At 46.2% G+C, this 18,623-nt stretch overlaps 1 protein-coding gene across 7 annotated transcripts in view; it reads left to right on the forward strand.

Annotated features, from left to right (window-relative positions):
* The window catches only part of CD99 (CD99 molecule (Xg blood group)), a 50,015-nt gene that overhangs the window by 14,511 nt on the left and 16,881 nt on the right, over window positions 1–18,623 (forward strand). For 4 of the 7 annotated variants that reach the window (NR_135623.2, NM_002414.5, NM_001321368.2 and 1 more), the window contains exons 2-7: window positions 8,617–8,649; window positions 11,800–11,847; window positions 13,856–13,900; window positions 14,551–14,619; window positions 16,822–16,869; window positions 17,509–17,559. Coding sequence is in view for 6 of the 7 variants with exons in the window: in NM_002414.5 (NP_002405.1) it covers window positions 8,617–8,649; window positions 11,800–11,847; window positions 13,856–13,900; window positions 14,551–14,619; window positions 16,822–16,869; window positions 17,509–17,559 (294 nt within the window). In the remaining variant the exon portion in view is untranslated. The remainder of the gene's footprint in view (window positions 1–8,616; window positions 8,650–11,799; window positions 11,848–13,855; window positions 13,901–14,550; window positions 14,620–16,821; window positions 16,870–17,508; window positions 17,560–18,623) is intronic. The other 3 variants (NM_001122898.3, NM_001321369.2, NM_001321370.2) reach the window with 2 other exon arrangements.

Here is an 18,623-nt window from a genome sequence, read left to right on the forward strand (position 1 = left end):
TATAGCAACAGAAAAGTAAGGGTGTTTTGACCATTTGAATAAAATAGTAAAATGAAATGTATCAGCTGCCTCCTGCTATTCCCACACAGGAGGACTTCCGGTGCTTGCTCCAATGTGGAGGCATTTTCTCTTGCAGCATTCTGAGCTACAATTATCTCTAGGCTGGGGACCCTTCCCGAGGCCCCCCAAACCTGGAATGAAAGTTTTTAGGGTCAGACCATGTGACTGGTTCCACTCGACCTCCAAAACGTTAAAAAGAAAAAAAAAAAAAGAGCCGGGCGCGGTGGCTCACGCCTGTCATCCCAGCACTTTGGGAGGCCGAGGCGGGCGGATCACGAGTTCAGGAGATCGAGACCATCCTGGCTACCACGGTGAAACCCAGTCTCTACTAAAAATACAAAAAAATCAGCCGGGCGTGGTGGTGGGCACCTGTAGTCCCAGCTACTCGGGAGGCTGAGGCAGCAGAATGGTGTGAACCCGGGAGGCATAGCTTGCAGTGAGCCAAAATCGGGCCACCGCACTCCAGCCTGGGTGACACAGAGACACTCTGTCTCAAAAAAAGGAAAAAACAAAAAACAAAAAACGCTTTGCCTTTGCTTGGCATCAGAGGACTCAGCAGCAAGTAAAGAGCACACACGTGCCCTCTGCACCACCTCCTCCTCCTTTTCTACAATGTCCTGAAAGTTTCGTGTTTAGTGGGCTTTGGAAAAGGGTGTGGAAAACCAGCAGGAGCAGATGAGTACTGGAGTGGCCAGCAGCAGGTGTGAACACCCTGGGGTGATGCTGGGGCTGAGTGAATTGGACATTTTTCAGCAGGGACACCCAGGCCAGTGGCGGGTCTTCATCCTCCCACCCTTAATGGAGATGAACGGCATTATTGAGAAAGCTGCAGGCACACACAGAGCACTGCTTAAATGATGTCCCTGGCTGCTGCTGTTACTATGTAATGATTGTGTTATTCTTATGAAAATCTGAAAGTTACAGGAATCTTGGAACTGCCTAATTTTTTTTAATTAATTAATTAATTTATTTCGAGACAGAGTCTCACTCTGTCGCCCAGGCTGGAGTGCAGTGGTGCGATCTCGGCTCACTGCAACCTCCACCTCCCGGGTTCAAGCGATTCTCCTGCCTCAGCCTCCCAAGTAACTGGGACTACGGGCGTGCACCACCACGCCTGGCTCATTTTTAATTTTATGTGAAACACCTGAATGATGTGATGATGGGGTTTAAGATAACCCAAGTGTTCGGGCGCGGCGGCTCACATCTGTAATCCCTGCACTTTGGGAGGCCAAGGCAGGCAGATCACTTGATGCCCGGAGTTTGAGACCAGCCTGGCCAACATGGCGAAACTCCATCTCTACTAAAAACACAAGAATTAGCTGGATGTGGTGGCACATGCCCATAGTCCCAGCTACTGGGGAAGCTGAGGAAGGAGAATCACTTGAACCCAGGAGGTGGAGGTTGCAGTGAGTTGAGATCATGCTACTGTACTCTAGCCTGGGCAACAGAGCAAAACTCTGCCTCAAAAGAAAAGAAAAGAAAAGAAAAAAACAGCAAAAAGAGAACCCAGGTACTGGCTCTCCTCCTGCGTTTGCCCCGGTTGAGTGCATTCCTGCATTAGTGCAAGCCTTAGTCACGTTGCAGAGGAACTCACACACCCCATGTGGCCTCGGGGACTTCACTCTGGGTTCGTCCTGTTTTTTGAGTTGCCTGGCTGATGAGAAAAAGTAAACATGGTTTGAATCAGTAGAAAGTGTCTTGTCAGACTGACTCATGCCATCTGTCGTCCGTTCCGCCTTGCCCTGATGAGCCATTACCCTGTCCCGGAAACATCTGGAGCTTTGAGAGGGCCGGGTGGAAACAGCAGTGGCAGTTGGGGGTTCTGCTGAGGGTCTGGTCTCTTTGCAAATTTGCAGAGAGGCTGAATGCCGTAAACGTGCAACACAGGCACCTGAGTTCTCCACCAGGCTCCTTCTCTGAGGGCATGGTTGCAGCTCTTGCTGGGTGGGTTTTGTTGGTGTTTTCTTCACATTTGTAGCCCCGGAGGTCGTTTTCAGGAGCAAAAAGGCAAGTGGGGGTGTCTGCTGTGAGCCCGCAATTTCCTGCCTACCACCTGAAAGCTCAGGGAATGTGATGAATTGGGAGATGAATCCTAGGCAATAAAGAGAGCAGTGGACTGAGTTAGGAGACGATAGCTTCATTTACAGAGATTCCTTTACTGACTGATGATCATTGATTGGGTTTGCTTCCCCATGAGGCTTCAAGCCAATAGCACGTGCATTTGCATCCATTTATATACACCTGGGGGACTGCCTTCCTCACACACACCTGGGGGACTGCCTCCCTCACACACACCTGGGGAACTGCATCCCTTCACATACATAGGGAACTGTGTCCCTCACACACCTGGAAGATTAGCCTCAGAGGTGTCTGCAGTACCAGATTCCACCAGGGAGTGAACGTCTGATTATGGGTGATTCAGGGTGCCCACGTCTATATGAAATCGAGAGCGGGTCACCTCCCTTTCCTCCCTACTCTCTGTGGGGTGGTGTTTGGGGAGCTGTCTTAAGTGTTAGTCACCCGAGGAGAAAATGGTGAGGGTGGGACTCTGTATCTGGGAGAAAGGAGACCTTGGAGGCAGGGGACAGACTGACAGAGCCTTGAGCGATGGAAGCTGAGGTCGAGGGCCCAAGGTCGATGATAGAATGCTTGGGGTTGTCTCTCCTCTGGTGTCCTTGTCCTTCAGGCATCCTGGAGTGACATTGAAATTGTTTCAATTAAAAACTGTAGAAACAGCACAGAGATAAGAATGGAAGACAAGCTCCAAGTGCGGGGCTGAGGCGAGTTCTCCAAGGACTAGGGCTAAGGGCAGAGGGTGGGAGAAGGGGAGAAGGGCGTGAGGGGCATACTGTGTCCTTTGCCACCCACTCTCAGACTTGTTGTCTTGGACCTCCGTCGGCTGAGCTTGGGGTCCGGGGAGCAGTGGGTTTGGACACTCAGTGGTGACGTCAGCCGTAGTCCTGAAGCAGAGGGGAAGTTGGCAATCCAGGCTTGCCTGGGGGTGACACTGGTGGCGGGAGGGCCTGTGCCCTCCCCTGTAACTGGGTTTGTGTGGGGTCCATGGGGGCATTGGGGTCAGTGGAAGGAACATGAAGTGAGCCAGAGCATCGTCACTGTGGCCTCTGAGGGCAGGTGGAGCAAGAAAAGGAGGAAGCTTCTAAGTGACACCTGGTCCCAGCTCAGTGGCTATGACCAGGGAAGTCATGTGGAGGAAAAGGCTGGTGGACTCTGAGGGTGATGGAGGAGGATGGGAGGGGCAAGCTAGGCTGGGGAGGTGGCAGGCCATGGACACACACCAGACAGACACACATGTGCATGCACACATACACAGGCACATACATGCATGCACACTCATGCCATGCATATATGCATGCATGCACACGTGTGCACCCACACAGCAAGTCACATGTGCACGTGAGCACACATGAAAACACACAAGCACATGCACATACTCCTGCAGTGCACATGCACACCCATATATGCATGCACACAGGTGTGTGCTCAGATAGCACCCTCACACATATGCACACAAGCACACAGGCAAACACGCAGACACATGAACAAATGCACATATATATTCATGCAGTGCACTTGTGCACATATACACATGCAAACAGGTGTGCATTCAGCACACTCACAATGCACATGAAAACACGTGTGCACACACATGCAGTGCAATACATATATGCATGCACATGTGTGCCCACACCATACACCCACACATACGTGCAGGAGCACACACGTGCACACACAGAAACCACATGAATGCATGAGCACGCGTATATGAAATACACATGTACACATGAGCACATCCACACGCGCACATGCATGAACATAGACACACACATGCATGTACATAGACACGCACATGCATGTACATAGACATGCACACGTATACCCAGGCCCTGCATTGGAAAAAATCCAAAATGTGGCTTGGTTGCAAAGAGCACATGAAGAGCTGTTGAATGCAGAGGTGCCCAGCAAGAAGCATGGACCTAAACCCGAAGGTGGTTGGGGGAAGCTTGGGGACACCTGGGTGGGCAAATGGCCCCCCTGAGGCCCAGGGACAGATGCAAAAACCCAGCAAGCCAGGAGGGTCTTTGAAAAAAAAAATGTGTACCACATGTGACATTTCCCATGTGAGGGAAGCATCGAGATCATACTGTGTTTTCCCTGTGCCCTGCGATTTTGCAGCTGACATGCCCTTTCTGTGGAAATATATAGCAGTCCTCATGCTAGGATTGCGTGTTCTGTGTCAGGCAGCTGGGCATGGGAGTGCAGGGTGTGGGGTGGAACCTGGGAGGAGAGTTCTAGTTTTACCACTGTGTTCCGGCCGTGGGGTGTCCTGGGGAATGGAGGCCACCTCCTGACACTGGAGTTTCCTGGGTTCTGCTGTGAGCGAGGAGTGGGAGAAGACAAGACTCTGGTCTTAGAAACCTTCCGAGTCTCGTACGCCCTTGACTGCCGTTTCTGAGTATTTCCTGAAGCTTGGGAAGGATGAGTCACTTTAAGGGGATTGTCCTATGTTGCTTTGTTTTGTTTCTTTAGTGACGGTGTCTATGATCATCTTCTGTTTATGAGGGTGAAATTACAGAAATAAGAAGGGTTACACTTAAAATAATATCTGTACTTTACTTTCACGTGTGGGGTTTTTTTTTGTCATTGCTGCTGCTTTTTTTTCTTTAACATTCTGACAGTTCTGTCTGCTTATTATTAAGTCTTCCTACCTTTCTAAAGAGAATGTCTTTCTTGCTAAAGAATACATTATGGACTCTTGGAATCTCTTTGTTGGGGTGGAGGGGGTGGGGACTTGCCCTGACTTGCTGGGAATGCCCATAGGGTTTAGAAGTCACGTCTACCGCTGAGGCACTAACAAAGGTAAGCCTTCAAGGAAGCACTGTCATTTCCGGGGAAGAGAGTTTTGAGGAAATTGAAACAGTTACGAATTGATCTAGCAGTCCCTCTACTAATGTATCTACATATGAAGATATGTAGAGATGACTTTTTTTTTTTTTTTTTTTTTGAGATGGAGTCTCCCTCTGTCACCCAGGCTGGAGTGCAGTGGCATGATCTCTGCTCACTGCAACCTCTACTTCCCGGATTCAAGCGATTTTCCTGCCTCAGCCTCCTGAGTAGCTGGGATTACATGCGCATATCACCACGCCTGGCCAATTTTTTTGTATTTATAGTAGAGACGGGGTTTCACCATGTTGGTTGGGCTGGTCTCGAACTCCTGACCTCGTGATCCTCTCACCTTGGCCTCCCAAAGTGCTGAGATTACAGGTGTGAGCCACCGCACCCGGCCCCAGAGATGACTTCTAAACCTTCAGGGTATTCCCAGCAAGTCAGGGCAAGTCTATATATATATAATATATATATGTGTATATATATATTTGTATAAATATATAATTCGTATATATAGTATGTATATATAGTATATATAGTATGTATGTATATGGTGTGTATATATGTAGTGTGTGTATACATAGTATGTGTATATACAGTATGTATGTATATAGTATGTGTATATATAGTATGTGTGTGTATTATATATATATATAGTATGTGTATGTGTGTATATATATATATGTTTATTTGGGATAAGGAAAGGAAATCAGTATGTCAAAGAGACACTCCCCTCCCATGTTTATTGCAGCACCATTCGGAGTAGCCAAGACATGCAGTCAATGGAAGAGCCCATCAAGGGATGAATGCAGAAAGAAAATGTGCTATATCAACTCTGTACATTCACTAAAAGCCATTCATTTGCACAGTGAGAATAAGTGCCTTTCATGCTATGTAAACTATGCCTCAATAAAGCTATTAAATGAACAAAGAAAATAGGGTATATTCACAATGGAATGGTATTCAGCTTTAAAAAAGAAGGAGGTTGGCTGGGTGCGGTGGCTCATGCCTGTCATCCTAGCACTTTGGGAGGCTGAGGCAGGTGGATCACCTGAGGTCAGGAGTTCAAGACCAGCCTGGCCAACATGGTGAAACCCCGTCTCTAGTAAAAATACAAAAAATTAGCTGGGCATGATGGGCGGGCGCCTATAGTCCCAGCTACTCAGGAGGCTGAGGCAGGAGAATTGCTTGAACCCAGGAGGCGGAGGTTGTAGTGAGCCAAGATCATCGCACTCCAGCTTGGGCAACAGAGTGAGACTCTGTCTCAAAAAGAAAAAAGAAGGAAGTCCTGCCATTTGCAACAACATGGATGGAACTGGAGGACATGATGTTAAGTGCAGTAAGCCGAGCACAGAAAGACAAATACCGTCTGACCCAAACACGCTTACGTGGAATCTAAAACCACTGAACTCACAGAAGCAGAGTGGAATGGCGGTGACCAAGGGGTTGGGAGTGAGGGGTGGGGGAAATGGGGAAATGATGGGTAAAGGGTACAACATTTCCATCAGATAGGAAGGGATAAGTTCAGGGGTCTACTGTACTCAGGGTGACTGTGGTTAGTAAGAATGCGTTGCATACTTGAAAATGCCTAAGACAGTAGCTTTGAACTGTTTGCACCACAAATAAATAGGCGAGGTAAGATGTAAATAAAGAAAAAAAATACTTCAAAAAATACAATTACAGATTTCTATGGAAACATATGAACATGAGTGCATATATATATTTATATGTGCGTGTGTCTGTACCTGCCTTATGGTTTATTCTGGATCAGTAGGATCCTCCCTTGCTACCGTCTAAAGATCTGCCGCATGCTGCAGGAGGAGCTGTAATTGCATTTATGATGTCTGGCAAGTGTCCTGTTGTGGAAACAGCCATTTCAGGGCTCTGAGGTTGTGGAAACGACTCCACTCTGGTTGCCGGCATGGGGCCCACAGAGCTGTTCCGAGCGTTTTGTCTACTTTCTACTTATTGTTGACACACACAGAAACACACACGCAGCCATGAGTACACACACACACAGACATACAAGCAGACGTGGACACACCTACCTGTATGTACATACTCAAAACACACCTTCACACTATACTCACCTACCCATACACACACGTGCACACAACTACATGTGTGCACACAAACACATGCATACATGCACCTATGCATATGCACACGTGGAAACACACCTGCACACTACACACACCTACACATACACACACAAACCCACAAATGCACACACCCACACAGGCACAAACACACAAATGCACACACCCACACATGCACAAACACACCTACACACATAAACATATTGACACATGCACACATGCACATGAAAAACACATATACACACTACATCCGCCTACACATACACACACAAACCCACATATACATGCACCTACACACATGCACACATAACACCTACACACATGCATACAGAACCCACACATACATGCATCCATAGGCACACAGAAACACACCTACACACTGTGCACACCTACATATGCACACACAAACCCACATGAACATGCACTGACACATATGCACACAAAAAACACACTACACACACAGAAACCCACAAAATACACCTCCACACTTACACAAAACACGCCTACACATATGCACATACACAAACCCACACATACATGCACCTGCCTATATGCACCCACAACACATACACATATGCACACACAGAACTCACCTACACACCCCATACATGCACACAAAACCCACAAATACATACATGTGCACTGCAAATGCCCAAATATACATGCACACTCACACACACATACCCCTGTGACATATGCATGCACGCTTCATTTATACATGCAGGAGCATAGCCTGGTCGTTTGCACCTGTTGTGGAACTGGACACACTTCCGGTGTTCACAGGGCTCCTGCGGGTTGTTCTTGGACCCCTCGCCACCCACCGCCAGGTGCTTCCTGACGGTTGAGAGATGTTGTATGCCTTTGGTGCTGAGGAGTGGGGACGCTGGATGTTGACGATTATCCTAACTCTTCCTCCAGTTGACCAAACAGTCCAAGTCGACTTTTCCAAATTTTCCTGAATTTGGCTTTTCTTCAGTGCGCCAGAGATGGCCAGCCACGTTGAAGTAGCATTGAAATTGTTGTAATTAAAGACTGTAGAAACAGGGTAGCCTATCAATAATTCAGCATGCCAGTTTCCTCATTCCGTGGGATTCCATGAGATTTTTTTTTAATGCATAATGCACGTGTCTTTCTGGGTTGTCTAGTGTTTCTACTATATTTTGGTTTGTAATTACAGGAAAGTTGCCAATAAAAAAGGGAGAATTTTGTTCCCCATGTTGTTTTCAGTACATATTCAAAATTGTTATTCATCTGTTTGAAAGGAACGACCTGTTAAGAATAATACACAAAATGATCGTGTTTTTACACTATTTTAATTTCTACTAAGCTTGAAGGTCATCATTTATTTAAAACCTAGGCTAACATATTCTTACTTTTAGGCATGGAAGTGAATATTTAGAATGAGAAGAGAAATCACGCACCTTGTAAATTTTTTTAAGTTGCTGTTTTAAATATCACAAAAAGAAAAATCGCATATCTTTTTTATCTCTATAATATTCAAATTTATTTTTATTTTTCTTGTTTCTAAGTTGACTCTTTTTTTCTCTCTTAGATGGTGGTTTCGATTTATCCGATGCCCTTCCTGGTGAGTATCAACATCATTTTTTAAAATCCCGTCAATATTTTATGTTAACATAGTATATACAGGCATATCCCAGCCATTTCCAGCTAGGTTCTAGACCACCGCAATAACAGGAGTCATAGCAATTTTTGGCTTCCCAGTACATATAAATGTTATGTTTACTCTCAACTGTAGTCTATTAAGTATGCAATAGCATTACCTCTAAAAACAGTATACTCCAATTGAAAATACCTTATTGCTAAAAAATGCAGATACAGAGACAGGAAGTGGGGCACGTGCTGTTGGAAAAAATGATGCCGAGAGTCTGGCTTGCCACAGGGTTGCTGCAGGCCTTCCGTTTGTAAAACACACAGTATTTGCAAAGCACCTTAAGACAAAGTGCAGTGAAGGAGGTCCGCCTGTATGTGTCCACCTGCCTTATTATAAAAACTAGACTCATAGATGACGAGGAAAAGCAAGATGCCCTTGTTAAGATAAATGAACCACCCTGGTGGAATAATTCACAGTCCTGTGATGGTCAGAGGCCGAGCAAAAACTTGCCAGGTCCTTGGGGAGGGGTCTAGAGGAGGTGAGCAAATGGAGGTCCCCAGGAGAGAGGGGCATCCAGTGCTGGCATCCTCCCTCTCGAAATCGGCACCCGCTGTCTCCATGGGGCCACTCCTTCCTTCTTCTGCAGCTCTTCCTGTCTCCCGCTCCTCACCCAGAGCCCTCGGTGAAGGGCATGGGAAAAGGAATTGAAGGAATTCCGTCTTATCACTCTATCAGCTTCTGGGTCTTGTCATCCCTTTGTATTTGTTTTCCGGGGCTGCCATAAAAAGGTGCCACCAACTGGGGGCTTAAACCACAGGGATTTATCATCTTCCAGACCTGGACAACAGAAGTCTGAGATCAAGGTGTAGACAGACCCATGCTCCCTCTAGGGGCTCTAGGGGAGGGTCCTTCCTGCCTCTTGCGGCTTCCGGGAGCTCCAGGTGTCCCTGGACTTGTGGCCGCATCACTCCAGTCTCTGCCTCCTTCTCCGTGGGGCCTCCTCCTCTGTGTCTGTGTCTCCTTTTCTTTGTCTTACAAGGATACTTGTCATTGGGTTTAGGGCCACTCTACTCCAGGATTATCTAATCTCAAGATCCTTCTCTTAAGCACATCTGCAAAGACCCTATTTCCAAATAAAGTCTCATTACCAGGTTTTAGGCTTTAGGATGTAGATATATCTTTTGCGGGGACCACTGCTCAATCCACTGCAGTTATATCCAGTTCTTTTTGGTGGCTCTAGGGGAGGATCCTTCCTGCTTCTCCCAGCTTTTGAGGGCTTCACGTGTCCCTGTGCTTGTGGCTGCATCACTGTAGGCTCTGCCTTTGTGAACGCTGGTCTCTTCCCTGTGTCTCCATGTATCTAAATTTCCTTCCTATAAGGGCACCAGTCATTAGGACCTATCCTAATCTATTATAACCTCATCTTAACTGATTACAACTGCAAAGACCCTGTTTCCAAGTAAGATCACCTATTGAGGTTTGGGGTGGGTGTGGATCTTGGAGGAATGCTTTTCAACCCAGGACAGCCCTCTTCATTTTTTTTTTTTTTTTTTCCGAGATGGAGTCTCTCTCTGTCACCCAGGCTGGAGTGCAGTGGCACGATCTCGGCTCACTGCAACCTCTGCCTCCCGGGTTCAAGTGATTCTCCTGCCTCTGCCTCCCGAGTAACTGGGATTACAGGCATGCACCACCATGCCTAGCTAGTTTTTGTATTTTCAGTACAGACGGGGTTTCATAATGTTGGTCAGGCTGGTTTCGAACTCCTGACCTTGTGATCTGCCCGCCTTGGCCTCCCAAAGTGCTGGGATGACAGGCATGAGCCACTGAGCCCAGCCACCCTCTTCACTTTTTTATGTTTTACTTTTTTTTTTCTGAGACACTGTCTCGCTGTGTTGCTCAGGTTGGAGTGCAGTGTTGGGATCTTGGCTCACTGCAGCCTTGACCGTCTGGGCTCAAGCAGTCCTCCCACCTCAGCCTGCTGAGTAGCTGGGACTACAGGCATGTGCCACCTCACCTGGTACAGTGAGCAACACGGGGTCTCACTGTGTTGCTCAGATTGGAGTGCCACGGTGGGATCTTGTCTCACTACAGCCTTGACCATGTGGGTTCGAGCAATCCTCCCACCTCAGCCTCCCAAAGTGCTGAGGCGTGAGAGGATTGCAGACACGAGCCACTGCACCTCGCCAGCTTTTAATTTTATGTCCTGTGGTGCAGTGCAGATGGTTTGAGCGGAAACAGTGCTGATGGGGATCATCTCTTTCCTGACCACCTACCCCTTCTTGGCCCTTGGGAACAACCATTCCCTGCAGTGGGAGGTGCCCTTAGTCTTACAGCCTCCACCTGATTTGCCTGATTGGCTTCCATTCTCAGAGGGGGCAGCCTAGGCAGAGGCCTGACGGGGCCAAAAGTGTGTTTCATATGAGAAATGTGAACAGCCTTTCAGCCATCAATCCGGTGTCTCTCCTTCTCATGCATAGATCTCGGGCTCTGAAAAGGGCAGTTTTTCTCCTAACTTTGCCATTCTCCTGCCTTCCTGGCTTATGTCTCAGTCATAGTCCCATTCAACGTCAAGAAGTGGAGAAGGGCTGGGCACGGTGGCTCAAGCCTGTCATCCCAGCACTTTGGGAGGACGAGGTGGGTGGATCACCTGAGGTCAGGAGTTCGAGACCAACCTGGCCAACGTGGTGAAACCCCATCTCTGCTAAAAATACAAAAAATTAGCCGGGAGTGATGGCATGCACCTGTAAGCCCAGCTACTCGGGAGGCTGAGGCAGGAGAATCGCTTGAACCCAGGAGGCAGAGGTTGTGGTGAACGGAGACCACACCATTGCACTCCAGCTTGGGTAACAGAGCAAGACTTGGTCTCAAAAAAAAAAAAAAAAGAAGTGGAGAAGGGGCTCCTGGTCTCTGTGGAAACCATGGCCGGTAGCAGCCTCTGTGTCTGTCTTCTGGGCTCAAGAGTCGTTGTATAAACCTCAGCTCGGTGTGGGCAGGTGAGAAAAAACAATGCTAAAAACATTCTCCGACTGTTTCCAAGAAAATGAAACATCCTTAACCACAAAAGAGTTGACACTTGTTTTCCCAGCTGCAACTTTTACTAACTGAAATATCTTATCTCTTTAGACAATGAAAACAAGAAACCCACTGCAATCCCCAAGAAACCCAGTGCTGGTGAGAAGGGCTTCTTCCTAGTATGCAAAGAAAAAGAGCAAATCATTTTCTCGGACAGCAGGACGGGACTTAGGCAACTAGAAAGAAGACAGAAGTGATTTGAGTGCTCCGGCTGGAGTCTGGTTAATAGTTAATACTGGAATTGTGTTATGATGTTACATTTCATGTAGTGATTCCAGTAAAAGAATGGTTGCTGATGTGAAATGTTTCGGGGCCATTTGGACAACATCTCTGTGTGCTTTTATTCTAAGGGTCTGAGTTACTCTGTCTTTAGATTTTCTTCCCTTTTTTTTTTTTTTTTTTTTTGAGATGGCGTTTCATTCTTGTCTCCCAGGCTGGAGTGCAGTGGTGTGATCTTGGCTCACTGCAACCTCCACCTCCCGGGTTCAGTGATTCTCCTGCCTCAGATGCCTCAGTAGCTGGGACTGCAGGCACCAGCCACCACACCTGGTTAATTGTTGTATTTTTAGTCGAGACGAGGTTTCACTATGTCGGCCAGGCTGGTCTTGAACTCCTGACTTCAGGCAATCTGCCTCCCAAAGTGCTGGGATTACAGCGGTGAGCCACCATGCACGGCCTGTGTCTTTAGATTTCAACTTCCTAGGAGAGAGAGCATTTGGTGCTGAGATCTCCCCCATGATGACCAACAAGTGAACTCATCTCTCAACCTGTGGGCACACACCTCATTTGTTCTCAGTGCTTGCTGTTCTTTCTTTCTTTTTTTTTTTTTTTTTGAGACGGAGTCTCGCTCTGTCGCCCAGGCTGGAGTGCAGTGGCGCAATCTCGGCTCACTGCAAGCTCCGCTTCCTGGGTTCACACCATTCTTCTGCCTCAGCCTCCCAAGTAGCTGGGACTACAGGCAGCGGCCACCACGCCCAGCTAATTTTTTTGTATTTTTAGTAGAGACGGGGTTTCACCATGTTAGCCAGGATGGTCTCGATCTCCTGACCTTGTGATCCACGCGCCTTGGCCTCCCAAAGTGCTGGGATTACGGGCATGAGCCACCACACCCAGCCCTCAATGCTGTTCTTTCAAACAAAAGTCAGAAACGAGGTCCACGTGATGGAATTGCCCAAGGGTCAACCCCACTGGCGGATAAACAGAGTAAAAATGATGCTAAAACTTATGGCATCAGTGTCTTACAGCTAAGACACTGTCTTGTCTTAGCACTTCTGAGTTTTCTAATATAAAACATTAATAGCTCCACTTCATTATTGGGCTTCCTGTCTAGAGTGTCAGCTCATGAGCAAAGGGACCCTGTGTCCCCAGATCCTTGAACTAAGCAATCATGCAGATAGCACCAATGAGTAGGTGTTGAGCGTCTGAATTTATACTATCATAGTCTCCTTGAGGAAGGGACTGGAAATTCCCATATGTCACTCAGGATGGCTCAGTACATGCTGTTGGGTGGATGCCAGCAACCATTCCTCCATCTTAGTTGGGTTTTCAAAATCATTCTTCATACTAGAAGACAAGATCTGAGGCCATGGTGAACTGTCACATCAGTTGCGGAGCACATATGGGTTGCTAGAGCCATGTTTTAGACACCCTCTAGCCTAAATCTGATCACAGTCATCTGTCCCCTTCTCTTAGGGTCTACCTTTCCAAAGTTGTTAGGGACCTGGGAGGAGAGGATGATGGGATGGGGAGTCAACAGGAGAAAATCATGTGCAGGCAGAATTGGAATTTCAACTTGGTCCAGGCAACACAATTCATTTATAAATTACTTTATTTCTCTCTCTCTCTCCCCACTGCCTCTCCTCTGAGAGCTTCTCTCCTAGCTTTTTATCTGTCTCTGTCTCTCTGTTTTTTCCTCTTTTTATCTGAGAGAATAGTGATGTAAAAATGGTCAGGAATTCACTTTTTCTAATGAGATCCTGGTCAAGCTGATATTCAGAAAAGTATTTAGGAATGTGGGGCCGTGGTGTGTTTTTGATCTGTTCACGAGGTCATTCCTTCCTCGTTTCTCTCTGGAATTTGGTATTAACTGCTCTTTCCCCTCTTTTAGGGGATGACTTTGACTTAGGAGATGCTGTTGTTGATGGAGAAAATGGTGAGTATTTTCCTTTAATCTCTTCTGCTGCTGATCTGCTTATTATCACCCAATTATGATCATTTCAGAGAGAATTCTCCCATTTAAATTATAAAGGGAACCAGTTTTCACAGTGGAAACCTAGGGAATAGGTGTGTCGGTTTGTTCTTGCTGTTGTCGTTGGGTTTTTCTTTACAACCAGTACGTGTGCTTTTATTTTAAAACTCTTACAGTCTTTGGAAGGACATGAGACAAATGTGCCTACCCTGGCCAGGGCTGGCTTCACCAGCATGTGACCTGTGCAGTGGCACAGGACCCCATGGCATGTTGGTTTGGCATGGGAACCATACTGGTTTACTGCTCTGTTGCCGCCATCTTGGAATACTTAAGAAAATTTGAAAAATGGGTCCCACCTTTTTATTTTGGCCCTAGAAATTCTGTAGCTGGTGTGGACACCCGCTTTAATTTTTATTAAACATAGTTGACATTAAGAACTGTGGCTGAAAGTTGATGGGAGGAAACTGGCAGGAGACTGTGTGTGTACAGGTATCCCCACCAGGACAAAGGCCAAGGTCCAATTTCTGTTCAGGGAACCATCTGTGTGTAAACTGATGTTTCATTTTCTTTACTGCAAGGCACTTAAAATTGCAACTCTCATCTTTCACAAACAGACGACCCACGACCACCGAACCCACCCAAACCGATGCCAAATCCAAACCCCAACCACCCTAGTTCCTCCGGTAAGAGTCTCTGACCCTGTGGGATGTCTTCATGTTGTTCAGAATTCAGCGATATTTATGTCAGCTGAGAGGAGGTGATTTCAGATGAGTGTGTGCTTACTGTTGACTGCCTGTGCAGTGTAATGCCCATGTTCATGTAATGGAAAATGTACATTTCAAAAATATATATTTAGCTTGGATTTTATTTTTAGTTTGCTTTTTTTTTTTTTTTTTTTTTTGAGACAGAGTCTTGTTCTGTCACCCAGGCTGGAGTGCAGTGGTGCCATCTTGGCTCACTGCAACCTCCACCTACTGGGTTCAAGTGATTCTCCTGCATCAGCCTCCTGAGTAGCTGGAATTACAGGCACACACTGCCATGCCCGGCTAATTTTTGTATTTTTAGTAGAGACAGGGTTTTGCCATGTTGGCCAGGCTGGTCTTGAACTCCTGACCTCAAGTGATCCACCCACCTTGGCCTCCCAAAAGTGCTGGGATGACAGGTGTGAGCCACTGTGCCTGGACTAGTTTGCTACTTTTGTTTCCAAGTTCCATCTTATGGAACTTCTAAAAAATTGCATACAATAATTTAAATGTAGACTTGATAAAGAGAAAAGTATTGGCATACACATTCCTTGTGGAGAAGCTAGTGTGTTTTAAATCTTTCTGCCCTTAAATATTTAAGTCAGTTTTTCTGACATATCACAGCATTTTCAGCGTAATTCGAATAGCACCAGTTTTTTTTTTTTAGCTGAATGGTTGTCGAAAGTTTATATGTTTAGGTTTTTTTGTTTACATATTTAATTTTTAACACAGAAGAATATTAATGATGTCCATATCTTGTTGACATTTTGATGGCTATTTGTGCTAGTATTTTATATATCTTTTTTTTTTCTTTTTTGAGACAGGGTCTCACTCTGTTGTCCAGGCTAGAGTACAGTGCTGTGATCATATTAAACATAAGAGCATACCACAGCCTCCAACTCCTGGGCTAGAGAGATCCCCCTGCCTCAGCCTTTCAAGTAGCTGGGGCTACAGGCACACAGCATCGTGACCAGTTAGTTTTTTCATTTTTTGTAGAGGTGGGGTCTCAGTATGTTGCCCAGGCTGGTCTGAAACTCCTGGCCTCAAGCAGTCCTCTTGCCTCAGCATCCCAAATCTCTGAGATTACAGGCACGAGTCACCTCACCCAGCCTATATATTAATCTAAATGAAATAAATTTTAAATAAAGTTCCAAGTCTTTTGTTTGTACTGCATTGTAACATTACTTTTTGCTTACTGATAGTCCATGAACATTTTTTCATGTCATGTAATCATTTCTATCGTATGAGTTTTACTGATAATCATGTACTATTACATACTACATATATAATTATATTCTTCCTGTAACTAATCCCTAATTCTGAAAATGTTATGTTTCTTCTGGCATTTTAGAATTATGAATTAACAAAGCAAATCTGAGTCAACTCCATGCGCTATTTTTATTCCTTTGAAGACATTTCTAGCATTCAAATAGTTTAGATCAACGTATATGAGTACTTTCGTAGCTTTTGACCTGGTTGTTAATTTGCTGCAGATTTTTACCAATTTATTTTGATGCCAGGGGTGTGTGCAAATGTCCCTGTCTTCACACCATCTCCAATATTAGTTATCACCTAGGAAACCTTTGCAAATAGTGTGAAATTTTCTATCAACTTTCTCCTGGTTTCATGACTTTACTTTTAAAATTAAAAAAAAAAAACAAACCTGCATCAATTGGCCGTGGATACTTCTTATTTTGTGTATTGTATGCTTTGCCTTTTATTCTTACATTCTGATATGACATTATTGATTTATAAGCCTTCTTCATTTATTTACAGACATAAATATTGCCAGCATGCAATATTATGCTCACGTTTTTCCACTTTATTTATGGTTTTTTGTTTTGTTTTGTTTTGAGACTGAGTTTAGCTCTTCTTGCCCAGGCTGGAGTGCAGTGGTGCCATCTTGGCTCACTGCAACCTCCACCTCCAGGGTTCAAGTGATTCTCCTGCCTCAGCCTCCCGAGTAGCTGGGATTACATGTGCCTGTCACCACATCCAGCTAATTTTTATATTCTTAGTGGAGATGGGGTTTCACCATGTTGATGAACAGGCCGGTTTTCATGAGTTTTTCCTTTATTCTAAGACATGAAGACCCTTGGAGGAGTTCCAGGTTGACAGGTGATGCTGTATTTTCTTTCCTAGGTAGCTTTTCAGATGCTGACCTTGCGGATGGCGTTTCAGGTGGAGAAGGTACAGTTATCTTGTTTTCTGTCTCTTTTCTCTCTCCATCCCATGATGCCCACCTGCTCTGTAGAATCACTACAGGGTCTAAACTGTCAGCTCTCTGTGAACTCACAGTGAAATGTTCAGCCATCTCTGTGGGAACTCCGCCTGTTTGCTGAGGCTTCAAGGATGTGGGAAGTAAAGGCTGCCCCGTAGAGGTTCGGTCCTCGGAGAAGAGTTCAGGGCCCAGGCAGCTGCCCCACTTTTCTGAGGGACAGGGCGTGATGAATGGGCCCTTGTCACCACCTCCTCACCCATCCGTTCACCTGTGTGTTCTTGCAAATAACTAGTGTTGTTTCAGCTTCATTTTATTAGGCTGTTTTCTGTAATTTAAGGAATGTGAATATTAAAGCCCTGAGAATAGTGATAATGCCTGGGAGTATGCGTTCTCAGAGTACCCCTAGAGTGTAACAGGCAGCACCTCAGCTCTGTAGCTGTGTAACATGCACCCTTAGAGTGTAATAGGCAGGACCCCAGCTCTGTAGCTGGGTAACATGTACCCCCGTAGAGTGTAAGAAGCAGGACCCCAGCCTCTTCACGGTCCTGGCTGTGAATTTTTCCTTGACCCCAAACCTTCCCATTGCAGACGTTGTTTTTGTCTTGCAGGAAAAGGAGGCAGTGATGGTGGAGGCAGCCACAGGAAAGAAGGGGAAGAGGGTAGGTGCACCTGGCTTCTGTCTTCTTGTCTCTCCCACGTGGTGTTGAGAAGGGGAAGCAGAATGTCTGAGAGCTGGCGGACTGCACTGGCATTGGCCTCCTAAAGCTACTGGCAGGAGGCACGGGTGTTCTGTGCCAAGTGCTCCCAAGTGATGTAGCTGCAGAGGTCCCCCAGCAAACCAGCCCTGCTCCGGGTGCCCACGTGACGCGGATTTTATGTTTGGTCACCTGCCCACGATGCCCTGGCTGGCGACCCGACCCCTACATCACGCTTCGCCTTGTCCTTGTGTTTACAAAAGCTCCTACACTCACCCTAACGATCAGAGGCTTGTGACGCAGTATCCTCGGTTGCGCTTGGCCCTTGAGAACGTCAGTAACCAGGTGGGAGGTGGGAATGTGGATCGCTTCCACCCTGGCTGTAACAGGCATTGTGTTCTCCATGGAAGTGCCGGTGATGTATCTCCTGTCTCCTTTTTCATAACCTTTTCCCTTAGATGGGACAAGAAAATAATGACAGACAGAATTCCTTTTAAAACTGTAAAGAAAACAAAATGAGGTAAGAAAGAGAAACAGAGAAGTAGGGAGGAAGAAAAAAGGGAAGGAGGGAAGGAAAGAAGGAAGGAGGGATGGAGAGAAGGAAGGAAGGAGGGAAGAAGGGAAGGAAGGAAGGGAGGAAAAGTGGGTAGTCTACCCTTGTTTTAGGTATTTATTATTTTTATGGGTACAGTTCTTGAATTCTAGGCTTTCTTTGAAGAGGTAGTAATCTGTAGCCCTCACCTAGGACTACAAGGTCATTTTTTAAAAAATAGCTAAGAAAACACATGTCTGGCATGTTTATCTCAGGCCATCGTTCTTGGCCTTCTAGAGAGTTAATGTCTACTATGTCACTTCATCAGGGAGGGGTAGTTAAGCTTGAAAAATCTTTCTATGACATGACTGTGTCCTGCACATATTAAAAACTGGCCGAGTGAACACACCACCGACAGGCCATGTTTGGAGCCAGTGTTTTTGCTGAAAGTCAGACAATTCTCCTTCCCCGTCGTGGAGGGCGGAGAAGATTCTAT

The sequence above is a fragment of the Homo sapiens genome, chromosome Y (assembly GCF_000001405.40).
Source record: "Homo sapiens chromosome Y, GRCh38.p14 Primary Assembly".
Taxonomy (NCBI): domain Eukaryota; kingdom Metazoa; phylum Chordata; class Mammalia; order Primates; family Hominidae; genus Homo; species Homo sapiens.